The sequence below is a fragment of the Homo sapiens genome, chromosome 9, assembly GCF_000001405.40.
Source record: "Homo sapiens chromosome 9, GRCh38.p14 Primary Assembly".
Taxonomy (NCBI): Eukaryota; Metazoa; Chordata; class Mammalia; order Primates; family Hominidae; genus Homo; species Homo sapiens.
Genome location: NC_000009.12, coordinates 133,117,314 through 133,135,516, shown reverse-complemented (window position 1 = coordinate 133,135,516; position 18,203 = coordinate 133,117,314). Strand labels below are relative to the sequence as shown.

The 18,203-nt window shown below is 58.1% G+C and overlaps 1 protein-coding gene across 5 annotated transcripts in view, besides 8 other annotated features; it reads left to right on the top strand.

The window, feature by feature from the left end:
- Positions 1-18,203, top strand: part of RALGDS (ral guanine nucleotide dissociation stimulator) — a 51,489-nt gene that overhangs the window by 13,694 nt on the left and 19,592 nt on the right. For 2 of the 5 annotated variants that reach the window (NM_001271776.2, NM_006266.4), the window contains exon 1: positions 14,277-14,545. The exons of 1 other annotated variant lie outside the window; for it this stretch is intronic. In NM_001271776.2, the coding sequence (NP_001258705.1) occupies positions 14,363-14,545 (183 nt within the window). In that variant the 5' untranslated portion in view covers positions 14,277-14,362. Of the gene's footprint in view, positions 1-4,359; positions 4,566-6,115; positions 6,379-14,276; positions 14,546-18,203 lie in introns of those variants that run through there. 2 more of the 5 variants (NM_001271774.2, NM_001271775.2) reach the window with 2 other exon arrangements.
- Positions 1,259-1,548: an enhancer, noted in NCBI's record as "active region_29229". NCBI's record gives its function as "activates an Ori minimal core promoter by ATAC-STARR-seq in GM12878 lymphoblastoid cells {active_cell/tissue: GM12878}" and the evidence as "EXISTENCE:reporter gene assay evidence [ECO:0000049][PMID:35858748]".
- Positions 2,263-2,807: an enhancer, noted in NCBI's record as "H3K27ac-H3K4me1 hESC enhancer chr9:136008097-136008641 (GRCh37/hg19 assembly coordinates)". NCBI's record gives its function as "activates a minimal SCP1, AML or CMV promoter by ChIP-STARR-seq in primed H9 embryonic stem cells {active_cell/tissue: H9 hESC(primed)}" and the evidence as "EXISTENCE:reporter gene assay evidence [ECO:0000049][PMID:30033119]".
- Positions 7,499-8,698: an enhancer, noted in NCBI's record as "BRD4-independent group 4 enhancer chr9:136002206-136003405 (GRCh37/hg19 assembly coordinates)". NCBI's record gives its function as "activates an origin of replication core promoter dependent on BRD2, P300/CBP, MED14 and CDK7 cofactors, and independent of BRD4, by STARR-seq in HCT116 cells {active_cell/tissue: HCT116}" and the evidence as "EXISTENCE:reporter gene assay evidence [ECO:0000049][PMID:35650434]".
- Positions 9,017-9,066: a silencer, noted in NCBI's record as "silent region_20445". NCBI's record gives its function as "represses an Ori minimal core promoter by ATAC-STARR-seq in GM12878 lymphoblastoid cells {active_cell/tissue: GM12878}" and the evidence as "EXISTENCE:reporter gene assay evidence [ECO:0000049][PMID:35858748]".
- Positions 9,077-9,266: a silencer, noted in NCBI's record as "silent region_20444". NCBI's record gives its function as "represses an Ori minimal core promoter by ATAC-STARR-seq in GM12878 lymphoblastoid cells {active_cell/tissue: GM12878}" and the evidence as "EXISTENCE:reporter gene assay evidence [ECO:0000049][PMID:35858748]".
- Positions 9,357-9,466: a silencer, noted in NCBI's record as "silent region_20443". NCBI's record gives its function as "represses an Ori minimal core promoter by ATAC-STARR-seq in GM12878 lymphoblastoid cells {active_cell/tissue: GM12878}" and the evidence as "EXISTENCE:reporter gene assay evidence [ECO:0000049][PMID:35858748]".
- Positions 13,988-14,697: a silencer, noted in NCBI's record as "silent region_20442". NCBI's record gives its function as "represses an Ori minimal core promoter by ATAC-STARR-seq in GM12878 lymphoblastoid cells {active_cell/tissue: GM12878}" and the evidence as "EXISTENCE:reporter gene assay evidence [ECO:0000049][PMID:35858748]".
- Positions 14,677-15,373: an enhancer, noted in NCBI's record as "H3K27ac-H3K4me1 hESC enhancer chr9:135995531-135996227 (GRCh37/hg19 assembly coordinates)". NCBI's record gives its function as "activates a minimal SCP1, AML or CMV promoter by ChIP-STARR-seq in primed H9 embryonic stem cells {active_cell/tissue: H9 hESC(primed)}" and the evidence as "EXISTENCE:reporter gene assay evidence [ECO:0000049][PMID:30033119]".

The window sequence follows — 18,203 nt, the reverse complement described above, 5'->3', positions numbered from 1 at the left end:
CTTGGCAGGGCTGGGTCCTGCTGGGCTCAAAGCCAATGGGAGCGGCTGGGGCAGGGCCTGGATTCTTGGATCCTCAGCTTCTTGGCAACCTGCGTGACTCAGTGGGCTGGTAATAGGGGCCGGCGGGCAGGCAGCCAGTGCAGGGGAGCCCTGCGGTGGGTGAATCAGCCAGTTGCTGAATTACTGTCCTGCCTGGGGTGGTGCCAAGCCCCAACTGCCAAAATAAGCACAGCCCCTCTTTGCCTTTCTCTCCCCACTCCAGGGTGGCCCACCTTCCACATGCCTTGGCAGGTGTGTCCTGTGGCTCTGCTGCTCCTGGGAGTCCCCGGGTCTCCCTAGCCTGGAGCAGGGGAAAGGTCCTCCCCACTGGGGTGTGTAGCCTTCCACAAGTCATTCTGCGGCTCTGCCTCCCCACCACACACAGGGGCCCTCCTGTGAACTGGAGGTCATTGAGATACTTGCACCCTGAACTTAGAAGGGCACCGTGAGGATAAAATCACCTTTGACTCTTTATGAAAAGTCATAAAGAGTCTTCCTGCTAGGAGTTTGCAGGAAGGAGTGACTGGGAGCGCAAACCTGAGAGTCAGACAGGATTGGAAGCCCTGCTCTGCTGTGTGGCTTTGGATGAGCTTTGTGCCATCTCTGAGCTTCATCCTCAAACTCACCTGCAAAACCTGCGTCACATATCATGATGGTGAAATGATACCCGCATTGGCATGGCAGTGCGTAGTAGAAATTATCAGAGGGTTGTTGACTCTGGTTTAGGCGCCAGGTTGGAGGCAGCAGTGATCAGCAGAAATGGAAGTCAGAGTCCCCAGCCTAGGCCTCCTACAGGGGACAGACCACCCACCCCAGGGACAGGGTCCCAGCAGCGTCAAGTCTGTGTGCTGCCTGGAACAAATCTACTTGTGATCCTTAATTTGGAACAGAGTAGAGGAAAGCAAGCAGCCTTGGGGGCCGGACTTACACCCTGCCTTGGCACTGACACGCTGTGTGACATCAGGCAAGTTGTTCGCCCTCTCTGGGCCTCAGTTTTCTCAGTTTTACAACAGAGATGATGACTGTGGCCTCATCTTTCTGGCAGAGGCTGTCTGGAAAAGTGCTTTGTCCCCATTGAGGTGTGCTAAAGGCGGCGCCAGACTAGGCTCTAGGGTACGAAGGGGTGTCAGGAGTTGATCCTGCCTGCCAGGCTTCTGAACGTGGCAAGAATTTGCCTCTGGGCTGCACAGTGACAGGTGTCAGTGATGCCCCCGTCCCTGGGAGTCTCCTAGTCAGAGCCAAAGAGGGAGGGGATGCCAGGCATAGGTGCAGCCTCCAGGGGCAGGATCTGTCTCCTGCACGACCACAGCATCACTACCTAGCAGAGCCGGCTGGGCCTGAATGTGTGTTGAGCGACTTGACGGGGCCTCAGGTTCCCAGAAGCCAGGGGGAGGGGAGCTGGAGTGTCCCCCCAGCTGGACACCGAGTCTGGCCAGCAGCTCCCTGAGTCAAGTTAGCAGCAGGAAAGAGGAGCAAAAGCCAGGCCTCGGCCTCTGCTATCTGCTTCCTGGACAGGATGTGGTGCCGAGTAAACAGCTTCGCGAGGAGTCACTGCTCTGGCTCTGAGTCACAGCTCCTAGCGACAGCTGCACAGTGTTTGTAAACAATGGGCCTCACACCCAGCCAGGGCCTGCCCCTACCTAGAAAGGTGCCTGTGGGTTGGGTTTTGCTAGCCTGGGCTTGTGTGTGTGGCCAGGTGCATTATCCCAGGCCACCCGGCGTGCTGGGCAGAGCATCGTGGGACCACTGGTAGGTCGTGTGTCCTGGGAGAAGCCTGGGGTCAGGGTCGTCGTAAGCTTCATGCACAGTAGCTGGAAATGTTTGTGCCATGTATGGCCCTCACTAGGCCCAGCTCCTGAAGGCAGCCAGAGTTGCGGTGGGGAGGCTGCAGGTGGAGCTCCTCCAACTGGCCTCACCCCCAGGCCCCAGCGCCTCGGCTGTCCATGGCAGTCTTCGTTCCAGGCAGTGACAGTGATGTGGCGCATCACGTGGCGGCCTGGCCAGCAGGGAACAAAGACCCTGCTCTCCCCCAGGCTGGCGGCAGAGGCAGGGCCAGGGACCACGTGGGTGGGAGGAGGGGTGCATGGCCCTGCTGCTCCCCTCCTGCCAGCACCACCTCCTCGGGACTCCTGCATTTCTGCGTGGCAGCTGGTGCTGCTCCTCCTGCAGCCTGACTGTGTCAGCAGTCCCTCGATGGCCTTTCCAGCAAGCTCAGTGCCCACTGCCCCGGGTAGCCCTGCCCACCCTGGCTCCGAAAGGAGGAGCCCCAGGATTAGGCCCTGAGGCCAGGCTGACCTGTGCTGGAGGTGGGGGCAGGGGAGATATGGGGGTAACAGGCTTGGGAAGCTGGGCTGGAGTGGGCTATTCAAGAATAGCACAGAAAGCTTGTGTGAGAGATGCAAGGCCCTGCAGAGGGCCTGGTACCCGGGAGCTGCTTGTCCAAGCAAAGGCATTAGCTCACAAACACACCAGCAGGGTGGCCTGGTTCCCTGCCACTTCCCTACTGGTCCCCCACCCCCACTATGAAAGTTGAGCGCTTCTGGCCAGGCACGGTGGCTCACGCCTGTAATCCCAGCATTTTGGGAGGCCAAGGCGGGCGGATCTCGACGTCAGGAGTTTGAGACCATCCTGGCCAACATGTAAAACCCCATCTCTACTAAAAATACAAAAATTAGCTGGGCGTGGTGCCGCATGCCTGTTATCCCAGCTACTCGGGAGGCTGAGACAGGAGACTCGCTTGAACCCGGGAGTCGGAGGTTGCAGTGAGCCGAGATGGCGCCACTGCACTCCAGCCTGGGTGACAGAGCGAGACTCCGTCTCAAACAAAAAAAAAAGAAAAAAAGAAAGTTGAGCGCTTCTTTCCAGGGCCTCTTTAAGCCCCCCACCCAACCAAACATGCGCACACTGTAGGAAACACCTTCTCGGCCACTGAGCCCTTCTACGGGGCTAGGCTGCGAGGTCACACTTTGCAGACAAGGAAACCGAGGCTCAGGGAAAGCCCTCCCCACCCCCTCAAACCACGTGGTAAGCTCCCTGTTAAACCTGGAGTGGCAGCCGAACCACACCACACAATGCCCACAGTCACATGGCCAGGCAGTCAGCAACACCGGGGTGAGAGGCCGAGGCTGGGGACAGCCTCGGATCCCTGCTCGGATACCAACCCCTGCCGCCTGCCTCACCCAGATCCTGCCTGTCTGCACAGGGCGTCTCTCCCGTTAATAGTGTGTACCCAGACAGTGACCTCTTCGCTGGTCCCCTCTCCCGGGACCGGGCCTGCCTTGCAGTACCCATCTGTGTGTGCTTCTACATCAGCAAACATTTCCAAGCTATCTGCTAGGATCCAGTTACAAGCCACACTCTGAGCACTGGGCAGACCCCGGACTGCCATCTGGACCTTGCTGCCAGGGATGGAGTCAGGCTATGGCACTCCTGGCACAGGGGCAGCATCCACCAACATTGATCAAATGTCTGTTATGTGCCTGGCACCGGGGCAGGCATGTAACCCTTTGGCACCTGAACTCCTCAATCCCCACTGGAAATGATCATTGCACATCCGCCAAGCACGGCCATGAGCCGAGCCCATGCTGAGTTCTTGTGGAATCCTCCAGCGCCCTTGTGCCCATTTTATAAGGAGCAAACTAAGGCCCAGAGATGCTAAATCATTGGCCCAGGGTTCCAGAGTCCCTGGGGATCAGAATTTCAGTCCTGGGCTGACCAATTCACAGCCTGGTTGGCTCTACTGTTCCTCGAAGGTCAAGGTTGAGTCACTGTGCGCAAGAGAGGCCAGTGGTGATGCCTGACTTTCCCAGGGGACAGGGCCTTGGAGCCTGGCACAGAGGAGGAAGTGTGCCAGATGAAAAAGAACAGGGAATGGGTGGCTGGGGCAGGGATGGTGTTGCTGCATTAAGACAGGGGTGTTGGAGAAGGCTGCTCTGACTGGGGGCCGAGTCCTGAGACCAAGGGGGAAGAACATGGTTCCCAGCAGAGGACACTGGCAGCTGGAGTTAGTAGGAGGGGGCTGTGGGCAGGTGAGGACTTGGGATTCTCTTCTGGGTGGGACAGAAATGGTGGAGGGATTTTAGTGGAGGTGACTTGTTCTGGCCACAGGGTGAGTACAGGGAGGTAGGTTTCAGGGCCCCCCTGAAACCCTCTAGCTCCATTTCTCTGATGCTCCCCCACCCCAGCCCAGCCCACCCCCACATGCCCACCCACATCCCCTGAGAGTCTCCACCCTGAGGGTGGCAGAGCTCCCAGGCCCTGAACTGTCTGCTCAGCTGGGTCCCCTAAGGCCCACAAAGCCACCGGAAGAGGATGTGAGATGCTCAGAGGAGCAGGGCTGGGAGCGAGGTGCTGCTGGGGCAGTGTCTGGGCGGGAAGCCGGGCCCCAGGGCCTGATGTGCCTGTGGGGGCACTCCACAGCCCCTGCCCACACCCTCTCCTCCCCGCCTCTGCTGTTCTGCTCCCTGCCCTGTGCCCTCCACTTGCAGCCAGGGACTGGGCATCCACCCGGCCAGGTTCCCAGGAAGGTAAGGAAGTAGCTGAGACTCTTGGCCTCTGACTTCGCCCTGGCATCTCTGGGCTTTGGGGTTGGGGCTCTGAGTGTTCTGGCCCCCAGGTCAGGATGGAAGGAGCGTCTGCAAGCTTTGCAGAGCAGCTGGACAGACACTTTTCCTGTGAGATCTTGGGCAAGTCCCTGCTCTCTCTGGGGCTCAGTCTTTCCACTTGTCAGACGGGTGTGTTGGATGCGTCTGATGGCTTCCAATGTCTGGTTTGCAGCAAAATGAGAAAAACAGGGACAAGGTAGTAAGTTGTTGTATTGTTGTGGTGGTGGTGGTGGTTGTTTACAACTCCAGTAGTCACTCTAGTAAATTATTCTAAAAGCCAAATGTACTCATTTCAAGCCTGCCCTTCTTTCTGATGGCAGCCCTTTCTTGTTACCTTTGGTGGTGTTTTTTCTGAATGGTGGGAGTAGTGGTGGTAATATTATTATTTTTTACCACCCTACTTAATGAAACAAACCATTGGCATCCCCCACCCCTGCGCCCAGTTAAAATGAAATCTTGTGGCCGGGTGCGGTGGCTCACACCTGTAATCTTACCACTTTGGGAGGCCAAGGCAGGTGGATCACCTGAGGTCAGGAGTTCGAACCAGCCTGGCCAACATGGCAAAACCCCATCTCTAATAAAAATACAAAAAAATTAGCCAAGTGGCTGAGTGTGGTGGCTCATGCCTGTAATCCCAGCACTTTGGGAGGCTGAGGCAGGCATATCACGAGGTCAGGAGTTTGAGACCAGCCTGGCCAATGTAGTGAAGCCCCATCTCTACTAAAAATACAAAAATTAGCTGGGTGTGGTGGCATGCGCCTGTAGTCCCAGCTACCCAGGAGGCTGAGGCAGGAGAATCGCTTGAACCCGGGAGGCAGAGGTGCAGTGAGCCGAGACCATGCCACTGCACTCCAGCCTGGGTGACAGAGTGAGACGATGTCTCAAAAAAAAATTAGCCGAGCATGGTGGCATGTGCCTGTAATCCCAGATACCTGGGAGGCTGAGGCAGGAGAATCACTTGAACCGGGAGGTAGAGGTTATAGTGAGCCGAGGTCGCACCACTGCACTCCAGCCTGGGCGACAGAGCGAGATTCCATCTCAGGGAAAAAAAAAAAAAAAAAAAGAAGAAAGGAAATCTCGTGCCTGGGTGCCAGGGATGGAAGAGCTCAGGTCTAGGGGGCAGGGAAGCCTTCCAGAACAAGTGAGTGGGGTCTCCTGCCTGCCTCCCAGTGCCTCTGGCTAGACTCACATCCGCCTGGTGGCTCTGCTGACCGAACCCTGTTTTGATTTGGTTACTTGTATCTGTCACCTTTCTGGCTCTGTGTGGTGGTTTCCAGGCCCCCGACACAGGGGGAATGGGAGTGGGGACTTGGAGAATTAAGGGAGAAAGCTAGGCTAGCTTGGGGCAGCCTCTCCACTCGTCCTCGGCTGGCCCATGGCCTGGTACAAGCGGGAATTCCTGGTCCTGCCTGTCACAGCAGCAGGTATGACAGCCACGCGGGTGACACCAGGCCCAGGCACTCGGGTGCTCCACTCCACTAGGGCACGCAGGCGACGAGCACACTGGCAGAGGGCCTCCCGCAGGGCCCACTCCCCACCTGGCTCTCGCCCCACCATGGCCCGGGAAGCAGGCCAGGTTTGTGCCAGGCCTGCCGTGCCCAGGGGGAGGAAGGGCTCTGTGTTCTTTGCCTGTGTCTCTGTGGTGACCGCCAGGAGAAGGGCCGTCGCCCGTCGTGCCGCTCTCCAAAGCCCGACACCTTGGCTGGCACCTCTGCCAGCACCGGCCACCACCGAGGTGAGTTTCCAGGGCAACCAGTGCCTCTGCCGGGGAGGGGCTGGGTGGGTCACCGCCGAGCCCCAGGCATGGGAGTTGCTTTCCCAGGACTCCCTTTCTTCCCTGCCAGAACTGGTTGGAGGAGTTTGGAACTCACAGGGGAGTCTTCATCTCCCATCTCGGGTATGAGAGAGGAGACTGGGGGTCTGCTCTGCTGCTGGTGCCCGTGTGCACACGCTTGGCCTCCCCAGCTGCCCCCAGCCCCACGGGTCAGTCCAGGGTGGCTGCGGGCTGTCCTGGCAGCTCCGTCCAGAGGGTGCTTCTTGGATTACCAAGGACTTCTGTGCACTGCTTCACTGTCTGCTCCCCTGAGAAGCCTGAGAGCTGGTGCTATGACGGTTACTGTCCCCATTTTACTGATGGAGAAATTGAGGCCCCAGGAGGTGAAACTAAGGCTAGGAAGACACAGAGCAGGCACTGGAACCCGAATCTGCACTCCAGATCTTAAAAGAGTTCCCCAAACCCACAGGAAAGAATGGCCCCTTGGGGCTGGCTCATCCCAAGGCCCCCTGTGCTGTGACATTTCCAGCTGGCACTTTGTGGAGCATTTCCAAGGAGTCCGGGGCCAGGATGGCGGCTGACCACCCTCCAGGAGGGGAGATCATGGATGCCGGGGCCCCTCGGGGTGTGATGTGCCCCACCTATCACAGCTGTGGGATAGACGTTGCTGCCTTGTGATCAGGGCCCCTGGGCTTGGGGACAGGTACTAGGCTGAGACTATGGGACCCTCTGGGCCTTTGGTCCCTTCCTCAGCCAGGTGTGCCCAGCACCCCCCGCAGCCCCTCTGCGCCCTGTCTCCTCGCTTCCGTCTGCCTGCTGCCTCCCTCTCCCGCTGTGGTCCTCCGGCTCACTTTTGGGTCTTGGGTTCAGTTTCCCTCTATGTCTTCCTCTCTCCTCTGCTTCCCTCCACTTCGGCCTGTCACATGTTGAATTGGTGGCCCCTCGGGGGTGGCAGTGACTCCTCACAGTGCCAGGCAGCGAGCACTGCAGGAGTGGGGGACAGCTGTCCGAGCGGCCCCCGATTTGCAGCCCATGGATGCATTTATCACGTTTGTTCCTCTGCGTGCCTCCCCCTCAATATGCCGGGGGTGTACCCATTTCCAAGGGATGACAGCAGGGCCCCACAGCGAGCCCCAGGCTGATCCGGAGCCCTCTGCATCCCCGTCCAGGGCCGTTTGCACTGCTCCCGGCATCGGCACACCTTGTTCTGGTTGTGCTGGGACGGCAGCGCCCCGTGAGGTCAGAGGGTTGCTGTCACATCTGCCACCCAGTGTGGTCTCCTGGAGATTTCAGTGGTTCGGTGCTTCGCTTCTCACCTGGCCAGCTCTGAGTTCAGCCTCTCGCCTGTGGGGACCCCTGCATCCTGGCGGCAGAAGGAGGAGGAAGAAGCCACCAGAGGTTGCCAGGAACCCAGTGGCAGGGGAGGTGGGGCTGAGCCAGGCCCGCCCGCTGTGCCGGGAGTTCCCACGCGTGGTCCAGCTGCGTCACCTCCTGCCAAGGTGTGTGCTCACCCGCCCACAGAGGGCCACCCCAGGACCTAGGCAGGCTAGGAATGGTGACGTCAGTGTTGGGAAATGACCAAGGAGCGTGTCCAGGCCTCACCCTTTTCATGTCCTCCCCAGGCTCTAAATATAGATCACAAGAGACAGAAAGGGGTCAGTGACCTCCACCTGCCCAACAGGAGGTGACAGGTTTTCCACCAGGGCCTGACCTGAGTCAGGGTACCTGGCTGCCATTCCTCCCGGCCTTGGCCAAGCCCAGGTTGGAAAAGGTGATGGCCAAAGGCCACAGTCACCCAGTCACTGCCCTGTGCCCAGTTCCCGCTCTGAACTGCTGTGTGTCCGGCAGCCCCCAGAACTGCACCCCAGGCCCAAAGCCCACTGTCTGGGGCCCTGCGTTAAGGCAGGCCTGGGTCCCGACTTGAAGGTCCACAGGGGCAGCTTTTATGATCTGCCTCTCAGGTACCGGCCAAGGATGTACTGGCCAAGGAATGGGTGGAAGGAGGGACGCACCAGCCAGACAGAAGGGGCGGCATGAAGAAGGAGCTGCAGCAGTTCTGCTGAGAGGGAACCTGGAGTGGGGAGCTGGGGCCACACCAAGCCAGTGGTCTTCTGCCTGAGGGCAGTGGGGGGCTTTGCGGGATCAAGACCCCACTGGCCGCGGTGTCTGGGTATGGGAGCAGGGAGAAGAGGGACCACAGAGATTCAGCCTGAACACACCTTTTCCCTAAACGAGACAGCTGCTCAGGGGCCAGAGAGTGACTTAAGATGCCCAAGGAATCGCTCCTCGCCTCCGTCTGCCTGCTGCCTCCCTCTCCCGCTGTCCCTCGCTGTGGTCCTCAGGCTCACTCTTGGTTCTTGGGCTCAGTTTCCATCTGTGTGTCCCCCTCCGTCTCTTCCTCCTCTGCTTCCCTCCACTTCGGGTTGTCACATGTTGAATTGGTGGCCCCTCCGGGGTGGCAGTGACTCCCCAGGGTGTCGGGCACTGGGCACTGCGGGAGTGGGGGACAGTTGTCAGAGCAGTCCCCACACATGCCCTGGCTACAGGGGGCAGCTGCAGTCAGCTTCCGGCGGCACTTGGGAACACAGACCCGGTGTGGTCAGGTCACCCAGAGTTACAGGAGAAGAGGGAAATGTGGGTTTTTATGTGAAGTCGCCTGACCTTTTACTGTTGGCTTAAAATTTTAAAAACACTTCGCAAGCCAAACAAAACACATGTGTGGGTGGGATCTGGCTGCCAGCTGTCAGTTCACAGCCTGCCTTTTAAAGTTCCTCTGCGAGCAGCGTCCCGACTTCCGAAAGGTCTGTGCAGCCGTGCTCTCCAGGGGCTTGTGGTTGTAGCCCCCAAGGAAAGGCAGGTGCACGTCCCGGGGGGAGGTTGGGAACCTGGGAAGGCTAGGTGGGGGTGTGGGGGGGCGTGAGCTGGGGCAGGAGGGAGGAAGGGATCAATGCCGATTCATAAGAACCCCCCACTTCCGGGCAGTGCTTAGTGATCTCGAGAGTCCTTAGTTCCTCCCAGCAGAGGCTCCAACCGCCAAGCACAGGGTTGTCATTGGCCTTGAGTGTCAAACCCACCCAAGTTCACCTGGACTGCCCCCAGCCATCTCTGATAGCCCCATGTGGGCATCCGGACTCGGGTTCTAGCTGCCCACGGCCTCAGTCCCCACAGCAGAGCCCCCAACCCCTTTTGTAGTGAAGATGCCATCAGTGACCCCTGTGCCCACAGAGAGTAATACAGGAAACGGTGAGCCTGGCAGGAGTCACTGCCCGGGGTCAGAAGTTTGTAGCCCTCTCTGGAGGACTGCTGGGAGCCTCAGAGGCATCAGAGGGTGAGTCTCAAGCTGTGTCCTTTTTCTTCTTTTTTTGAGACGGAGTCTTGCTTTGTCGCCCAGGCTGGAGTGCGGTGGTGCAATCTCGGCTCACTGCAACCTCCACCTCCCAGGTTCAAGCGATTCTCCTGCCTCAGCCTCCCAAGTAGCTGGGATTACAGGCACGCGTCACCATGCCAGGCTAATTTTTTTGTATTTTTAGTAGAGATGAGGTTTTACCACGTTGGCCAGGCTGGTCTTGAACTCCTGACCTCAAGTGATCCACCCAGCTCAACCTCCCAAAGTGCTGGAATTACAGGCGTGAGCCACTGCGTCTGGCCATTTTTCTTCTTATAACTTTTATTATGGATAATTCCAAATAGACACAAAAATAGAGAAAATGGCATAAAGACCCCCAGCTTTCACGACCATCGGTGCAGGGCCACTCTTGTTCACCTCTCACTGCCCCACTCCCTGCCCGCCCCTGGAGATGTTTACATGAATCCCAGGCATGTGATGCCATCCACAGATAGCCCAAGATGTAACTCTACTAGTGACGGCAACACCATTCTCACACCTAAAAAGATGTCTAATGTCATCCAATATGTAGCAGTGTTCAGACAATCCACATGTCTTATAGTTGTTTTTTTTAAACAGTTGTCTTGCTGACATCATGATCCAAAATCCACACATTGCATTTGTTAGACGTCTCTGACCCTTCTTTTAGTCTAGTTTCCCCTTTCTTTTTCCTCTGAAATGTATTTGTTGAAGAAACTGGGTTGTTTGTCCCATAGAGGTTCCCACAGCCTGGATTTGTGGATTGCACCCTTGTGGTGTGTTGAACATGTTTCTCTGTCCCCTGTAATCCCACAAATGGCAGTTATATGCAGAGGCCTGCCTTGATTTAGGTTTGGGTTTTGAGGAGAACACTGTGAGTGGTGCTGCGTTCCTCCACTGGTGACACACGCTGTCCCAGGATGGCCTTGCCCTTGGTTAGGGTGTCCCCACAGCTTACAGGAGGCCTCAGGAGAGGGTCTTGCATGCAGGAGGCGTCCCATGAATGCCAACCCCAGTTGCTAACAGTGTGAGGCAGAGTCAGGCCCGCCCGATCTGAGGGCATTGGGCAACACATCCTGTGCAGGGAACTTTATCTGTGCCTTCATTAGGGGGGCATGTGTATCTGTGTTTCTGTCTCTATGTGTGTGTATCTGTGTCTATGTCTCTATATCTGTGTGTGTGTGTCTGTGTCTATCTCAAACTTGTTTTTTCCCTTTTTGTGGAGAATGGGGTCTTGCTATGTTGCCCAGGCTGGTCTCCAATTTCTGGGCTCAAGAAATCCTGCCTCTGCCTCCCTAAGCTCTGGGTTACAGGCATGAGCCACCACACCCAGCCTCTGTGTCTGTCTCTATGTCTCTGAGTAGGTATGTCTCTGTCTGTGTGTCTCTATCTCTGCGTGTGTGTCTCTGTTCCAATGTCTCTGTGTGTGTGTCTCCGTCTCTAAATGTGTGTGCCTGTGTCTGTCTCTGTGCGTCTGTGTCTCTGTGTCTGTCTCTATGTGTGTGTGTGTGTGCCTGTGTCTCTGTCTCTATGTGTCTCTGTGGGTCTGTGTGTGTGTCTGTGTCTCTGTCTCTATGTATGTGTCTCTGTGTGTGTGTGTCTGTGTCTCTGTCTCTATGTGTGTGTCTGTGTGTGCATCTCTGTGTATCTTTGTGTCTGTGTGTGTGTGTGTCTGTGTCTCTGTCTCTCTGTGTGTCTCTGTGTGTGCATCTCTGTGTATCTTTGTGTCTCTGTGTGTGTGTGTGTGTCTGTGTCTCTGTCTCTATGTGTGTGTCTCTGTGTGTGCATCTCTGTGTATCTTTGTGTCTCTGTGTGTGTGTGTGTGTCTGTGTCTCTGTCTCTATGTGTGTGTCTCTGTGTGCATCTCTGTGTATCTTTGTGTGTCTGTGTGTGTGTGTGTGTGTCTGTGTCTCTGTCTCTCTGTGTGTGTCTCTGTGTGTGCATCTCTGTGTATCTTTGTGTCTCTGTGTGTGTGTGTGTGTCTGTGTCTCTGTCTCTATGTGTGTGTCTCTGTGTGTGCATCTCTGTGTATCTTTGTGTCTGTCTGTGTGTGTGTGTCTCATGTACAGCCAGAGCAGTGATCAGGCTTCCCAGAAGTTGGGAGGTGAGTCCCAAAGGTAGGGGAACAAGGCAGGAAGAGGAACTTTGTAAAAACAGACACCGGCCAGAGGGACTGGCTAAGTAACGCCCTCCCCCGCCCTGGCTCCTGTAGATGATATAGTCAGATGGGAGGGAGCCAGGCCAGCCGCGTTGGGGGGTTTAGTGTGATGAATTCTTTACTCTTCACCACTCCAGCCTCCTTGGGGCCACCCCTCGCCCCAGCACCCAGGACCTTCAAGGCCAGAATAGTGGTGATTCCTCTATGTCCTCATGAGTCACTTGTCCTTCTGGGCTATAAAACGGGTGGGCGCTTGTTCCCAGGCCCATCACTCAGCGAAGGAGATAAAGAGAGCAGAGGAGATAAAGTCAGTGGCAGGCAGCTTCTGGACTTTCAGTTTCCGGAGGCATTGGGAGCTTGGCCCCAGAAGAAAGGGATGGGAGGAGGAGCTTAGGGCCGAGGGCAGTGTCTCGGTCACCTCTTTGTGGCCCTGTGGGGACCTCCTGCCTCGAAATACGCCTCACCCACATTACCCTCCCTGGCCAAACGGCTTGGAGGCTTCCTAAACAGCCTCTAGGGATCTCCATCCCAAATCAAATCTACCCATCTTGCTTCTTAAAAAAAAAACAAAAACAGGCTGGGCGTAGTGCTCCTGCCTGTAATCCCAGCTCTTTGGGAGGCCGAGGCGAGCGGTTCACTTGAGGTCAGGAGTTCAAGATCAGCCTGGCCAACATGGTGAAACCCTGTCTCTACGAAAAATACAGAACTAGCTGGGCATGGTGGCAGGTGCCTATAATCCCAGCTCCTCGAGAGGCTGAGGCAGGAAAATCACTTGACCCCAAGAGGCGGAGGCCTTAGTGAGCCGAGATCACACCACTGCACTCCAGCCTGGGTGACAGTGAGACTGTCTCAAAAACAGCATTTATCACATAGAGCTGATTATTAAAATACTGATTTTAGAAATTAGAAATTCAGAGAAGTAAAATGAAAACCAGTAGAGCTTCCACCCAGCTGCAACTTACCACCATAATTTTTGTGAAGTAGGCCCTTCTAGTCGTGTGCACATGGGGGTCTTGTTCTGAACGGATGAACTGCCGCCTCACTCCAGTCACAGTGGAAGTGTTTCGTGGGTGTCTGAGGATTGGCACTTGGGAAGGGGGCAAGATGTGCTCGTGGAATGTGCTGTCTGGTCCCGCCCTCTCAGTTTACAGATGGAGAAACTGAGGCCCAATAGTACGGACCAGACCTGGGGAGGTTGGCATGGCCAGGGCTGCTGGCAGCAATTGCTGGCCTCCATGAAGACTGAAGGCTGAGGCCAGGGCAGGCCCAGTGATGAGTGAGGCATGAGGAAGGGTCCCATTCATTCATCCATTCTCCTGGCCCTGCTGTTAAGCCCCAGGCTGTCTTCCTTCCTCACTGGCTTCCAGAAAGAGTAGTTGAGGATGTCCCTGTCCCTGCTTCCCCTTCAGCCCCAGCAGCCCCACTTCCACCCTGAGACCAGGGATGTCCAAGCCACAAGCAGCCCCAGCTGACAGGCCACGCAGCCATGTGCTCTGCCCAGCGTTGTCACTCTTGATGCCTTCCTCCTTGTCAGATGCCTCTCAGCCCCAACCTTGGTGCCTTCCGCTCTCCCCCACCTCCCTGGCTTCCCCTCCTCTGAGGGTGTCTGTAAGGGGATAGTGTGGGGCTTTGCCCCAAAAAGGTAGGGCCCCACTCTCTGACCCTTTCCCCCACTGCACACACAGCCCCACACTCAGGATTTCCAATTGCACTGACAGGGTCACTGAACACATGGTCAGCCTCTCCAAACTCCGCCTGAGCCTGTAGTCAGGTGCAGGTGCTCAGTGCTGAGTGCTTCATGTCCATTACGTAATGTCATCCTCCCCGCAACTGTTTGAGGAAGTCATTTTCACTACCCAGATTTTCCAGATGAAGAAACAGTGAGGCTCAGAGGGGTTAAGCAACTTGTGGAAGGCCACAGAGTTGGGGAGAGGCTTTGCTGGAATTCGGGGTAGCTGACTCCAGGGCGGCTTCCCCACACATGATCAGCACGTACACATTTCAGCCCTACGCAACACACGCACTGCAGCAGCGTGACACGCAAACGGTGCCTAACCGGGGTACCCAAGGCCCCACGACACACGTGACAGCCGGTCCTCCGGGAGACCCAGCCAACGCGCACCCCTCGACCTCCCCGGCCCCGCCCTCTTTGTTCAGACCCCGCCCCTCCAGGCTCCCGGTCCCGCCCCGGGTCTGACCTCGGCGAGGGCGGGGCCGCGGGCGCGCGCACGCACGCGTCCCTCGGACTCTCCGGTTCCGCCCCTCCCCGGCCCCACCCTCTTCCCCTCCGGCCCCGCCCCCCAGCCTGACATCAGCAGGGCCGGGCCGCGGGCTCACAGCGGTGGCAAAGCCCAGCCGCGCGGGCCGCGCCGCCGCCCCCGCCGCGCGCCGGGCCGGCCCCGCGCCCGCGCTGCGAGCCTTCCATGGTGCAGCGCATGTGGGCCGAGGCGGCCGGGCCTGCTGGCGGCGCCGAGCCGCTGTTTCCGGGCTCCCGGCGGAGCCGCAGCGTGTGGGACGCCGTGCGCCTGGAGGTGGGCGTCCCCGACAGCTGCCCGGTGGTGCTGCACAGCTTCACGCAGCTAGACCCCGACCTGCCGCGCCCGGAGGTGGGTGAGCTGGGGCGGTCGGGCGGGGGGTGCGTCGGAGCCTCCCCACCCGCGGCAGAGCTGGGCAGGTCGGGGCGAGCCCCGGACGGGGCCGGGCGATCCCAGCGGGCCGCCTCCCTCCTCTCTCCTCCATAGGTGGGGGTCGGGGCCTTCTGCAGAAATCAGCCAGCAGGGTGGGCAGTGGGGGCTGCCGCCGCGCCCCGTCCAACAGTAGGGACCACGGCTGGGGTTTTGCGCCCCTCAATACCGTTCCAGGGCCTGCTGTCACCAAGGCCGCTGCAGCCCAGGTGGACCTTTTTCTGCGGCACTGTCCCTGTTTACATCGGTGGCCTGTGCCTTATTTCACTCAGTTCCCACCCAGGGCCCGCAGCGCGTCGTTAGCCTTTACGATGCAGGTGTGGAACAAGTGGTCGGGAAGGCCAAATCCTAGAATCCTCAGAGGTGATGAGACCATAGGGGCCTTCCAGACAGACCCTACTTGGGGCAGATGTGGATCTGGTGACCAGGGACATCGGGGCTGCTCAGAGCGGGGTGGGGGGGGGGTCGGGGGATGGGGTGGAGCAGCAGGCCTCCAACACGTGGGACCAGATGTCCTGGTGGTGAGGGGAGGAGGGTGGCCCAGGCCCAGGGCGGGCAAGACTTGTTTCTGCTTAACTGGAAAGAGTGCCAACACCCTGAATCGGTAAGGACTGGGTAGGATTCAGAGAAGGGAGTGGTGTACCTGTGATGGATGGAGGGGAGGGTGACTAGGTGAGGGCGGGGGCTTGTTTCTCGTGTGCCCTGGGTCTCTGGGTGGTGCCATCTGCCTCCCACCTGACTGCTGCTGACTACACAGCAGAGGGAGTGGAATCCAGAGATGCCCCCCTCGCCCTGCTCTGCCTGGGCACAGGGCCTGCACAGAGGCCATTCCTGGATCGGGGGCTCAGGGCCCATCAGAGCTTTGGCTGGGCTGCAGCCTTCACAGTGAACCTCCTGAGTCCCCGTGCGGCATCGTGTTGCCTTGCTGCGTCTCCAGTCGCTTCATGGCTTTAGACTGTGGCGCGTTGTGATTGCTGGCGATTGTTAGCCTGAGTCTCGTGCCTCTTGGTGTCCCGGTACCTAGACAGGGCCTGGATGCGACTTGTTTCTCCGCCCAGTGTTGGGCAGAGCTCTTGGTGGGGGAACACCACACGCCTGAGAGACCCTTTCCTCCTGAGCTTGGCAGATGGCCGGACCAGACGTGTTCCCTCAACCCTCATCTATCCAGGGCTCTGGTCCTCATTGGCGGCTGGAGAGGGACCCCTGGGAGGGTGGGGGTGGGAGGCTGACACCAGCCCAGCGCTCATCTGGCTTTCATTACCTCTGGCAGCAGCTCGGGCTTTGTGTGCTGGGAGGGTCCGGCGGAGCGCTCACAGTGGCCGTGCAGGTTCCCTCTCTCCGTCCCTGAGGAACTGAGGGAGAGGCAGAGCTGAGCCCCACCCCTGCCTGGGGGTCTTGTCTTCCCTCTCTCTGGCCCTGGCGCTCCTTGCCCAGCCTCAGCACTGAGATCCAGACCTCGACTGCTATTTAGAAATCAAAGGGGAAGCTTCTGGCTGGGTCAGGAAAACCAGGATCCTGGCAGGAGAGGAGGCCACTGCCGGAAACTGAACACAATGACCATTTACCAAGGGCCCAAGGGAGGGGGCGGGGAAGTCCCTGTCCCTCCTGCCAACACCCCCCGTCCTGGGGCTGGTTTCCTGGTGTCTATGTGGCCTGCCAGAGCTGACGCTGCGCACTTGGTCCCTGTCCTCTCTGGAAACCACCAGACAGTTTCTGCCTTCCCCCGCATCCCTGTTTCCCTACCTAGCTTCCACCCGGTGCTTCCCTCTGGGCTGCCAGATCTCCTCACATCTGGGCTTCCGCTTATCTTCCCGATTCTAAGCCAAGCCACCAATGACCCAGCTTGGCCTGCACAGTTCTTGCTTTCTGGAGGTGACCTGGTCCGTGCCCCCATCTCTGGACAGGCTGTTGCTTTGGCCAGACAAAAAGTGCAGGTTGTGGGCCACCCCCTCACTTCATCTGCCTTAGACCAACCCTACAGAGTAGGTGCCAACACCACCTTCTAGGAAGCTAGGGGGTCAGAGAAGGGAAGTCTCTGACCTAAACACCCGTGCAGCCAGCAAGGGCCGCAGCCAGGATTTAAGCATGGGCTGTGTTCTCTGTGGCACCTACTGTGTGCAGGAGCCACCAGGAGTCAGAGGAAGCCCAGGCAGCCCAGAAGCCCTGAGGTCAGGTGAGCAGTAGGGAAGCTTATGGCTCAGAGGAAGGCAAAAGTGCTTTGGGCCACAGGACGCTGGGGAGAGCTACCTGGAGGAAGCAAGCCCAGAACTGGACCCCACAGGTTTAAGATAACAGCTAATAAGAGCCAGCAGGTTTTGGGGAGGTCCTTGGCTAAGTAATTTGCATCATCTCCTTTTGGGGTCAAGACTGTTAAGAGCTCACTTGACAGATAAAGTCACTGAGGCAACAGAGGTGAATTAGATTGCACAGAGTGACCAAGCTGGTCAGTGGCAGGGCCAGGATTCTGACCCAAGGCCTGAGGGCAGTTGCAGGTGGGCTGGAGTGAAGAGGGCTTCTCTGTATTCACAGGGAGCATCTCCCTTCAGCCTCCCGCGTCTTCCCACTGTTTGATCTCTTGATCACACTGTGTGCAGGTCTTCGGTTTAATCCCCAGGGCTCATGAGCACTTTGACACTGAAGACCCCAAGGCAAAGGGCCTGTCCCTGTGTGGGTGTGTGTCCCTGCATGCATGTGTACAGACTGTGGTCTTCCAGGAGAGCTTCCTGGGTGACTCTGAAGGGGCAGCCCCCAGGACCCTCAGGTTCCCCTCTTGCTCTACTCGGGAGGGTCCCCCAGAAGAGGGGGACCAGGCTGGCTGGTCCTGGGTCTTTGTTCCTTCTCCAGGCGGGGGATGCTCAGGCATGCTGGCCTGTTTCCCGGGAGGCTCAGGAATGGCCCTGGGAGATATCAAGCTGCTCGTTGCCAGAGCTGGGGTCTGATTCTTAACCTGGAAATTGGGCATTTCCAGGACCTGTCTGCGTTGCCAATGAGAAAAGAGTGGGGAGATTTATCACTGGCCCTCTGCAGGCAGGCTCTGAACGAGCCAGTGGAGCGGTTTCAGGAAGCTGCACCCAGGCAGTCAAGGACTGGTTCCCAAGAGCTGCTGGTTGGCCGCCCAGATGGCTCCCATGGCGTGGTGCCACCATGCTGTGGCCACCCAGTCCCAGGGTTGGACTTCCAGCCTTGCAGGCCCAGAATCACTGTGTTCCCAGATATACAGCAACAGCAGAGCAGTGTTCCCCATTTGATTGTTAAGGGGCAGACACTGATGCATGCAGCCTCATGCAGGACAAGCTGAGCTTTGAGCAGACCCAATTCTCCCAGTTCCGCACACCTTGGCTGCCCACGGGCGGGGGAGGCAGTGGGATGGCAGCCCAACAGTGGCTTGGCGGGCGGGGCAGGACACCTGCGTTGGAGGGTTTTGGCGTTTTCCTCCATGGGGAAGCTTGCATGCTTTGGCAGCCTCCCCTGTAGTCATTCCTGGAGACTTTTGTCCATCTCAACCGAGGGGCAGGGAGCCTGGGCTCTGGAGAGAAGAGAGCTATGCTGGGATGCCAGCTCAGCCCCCTAGCAGATGTAG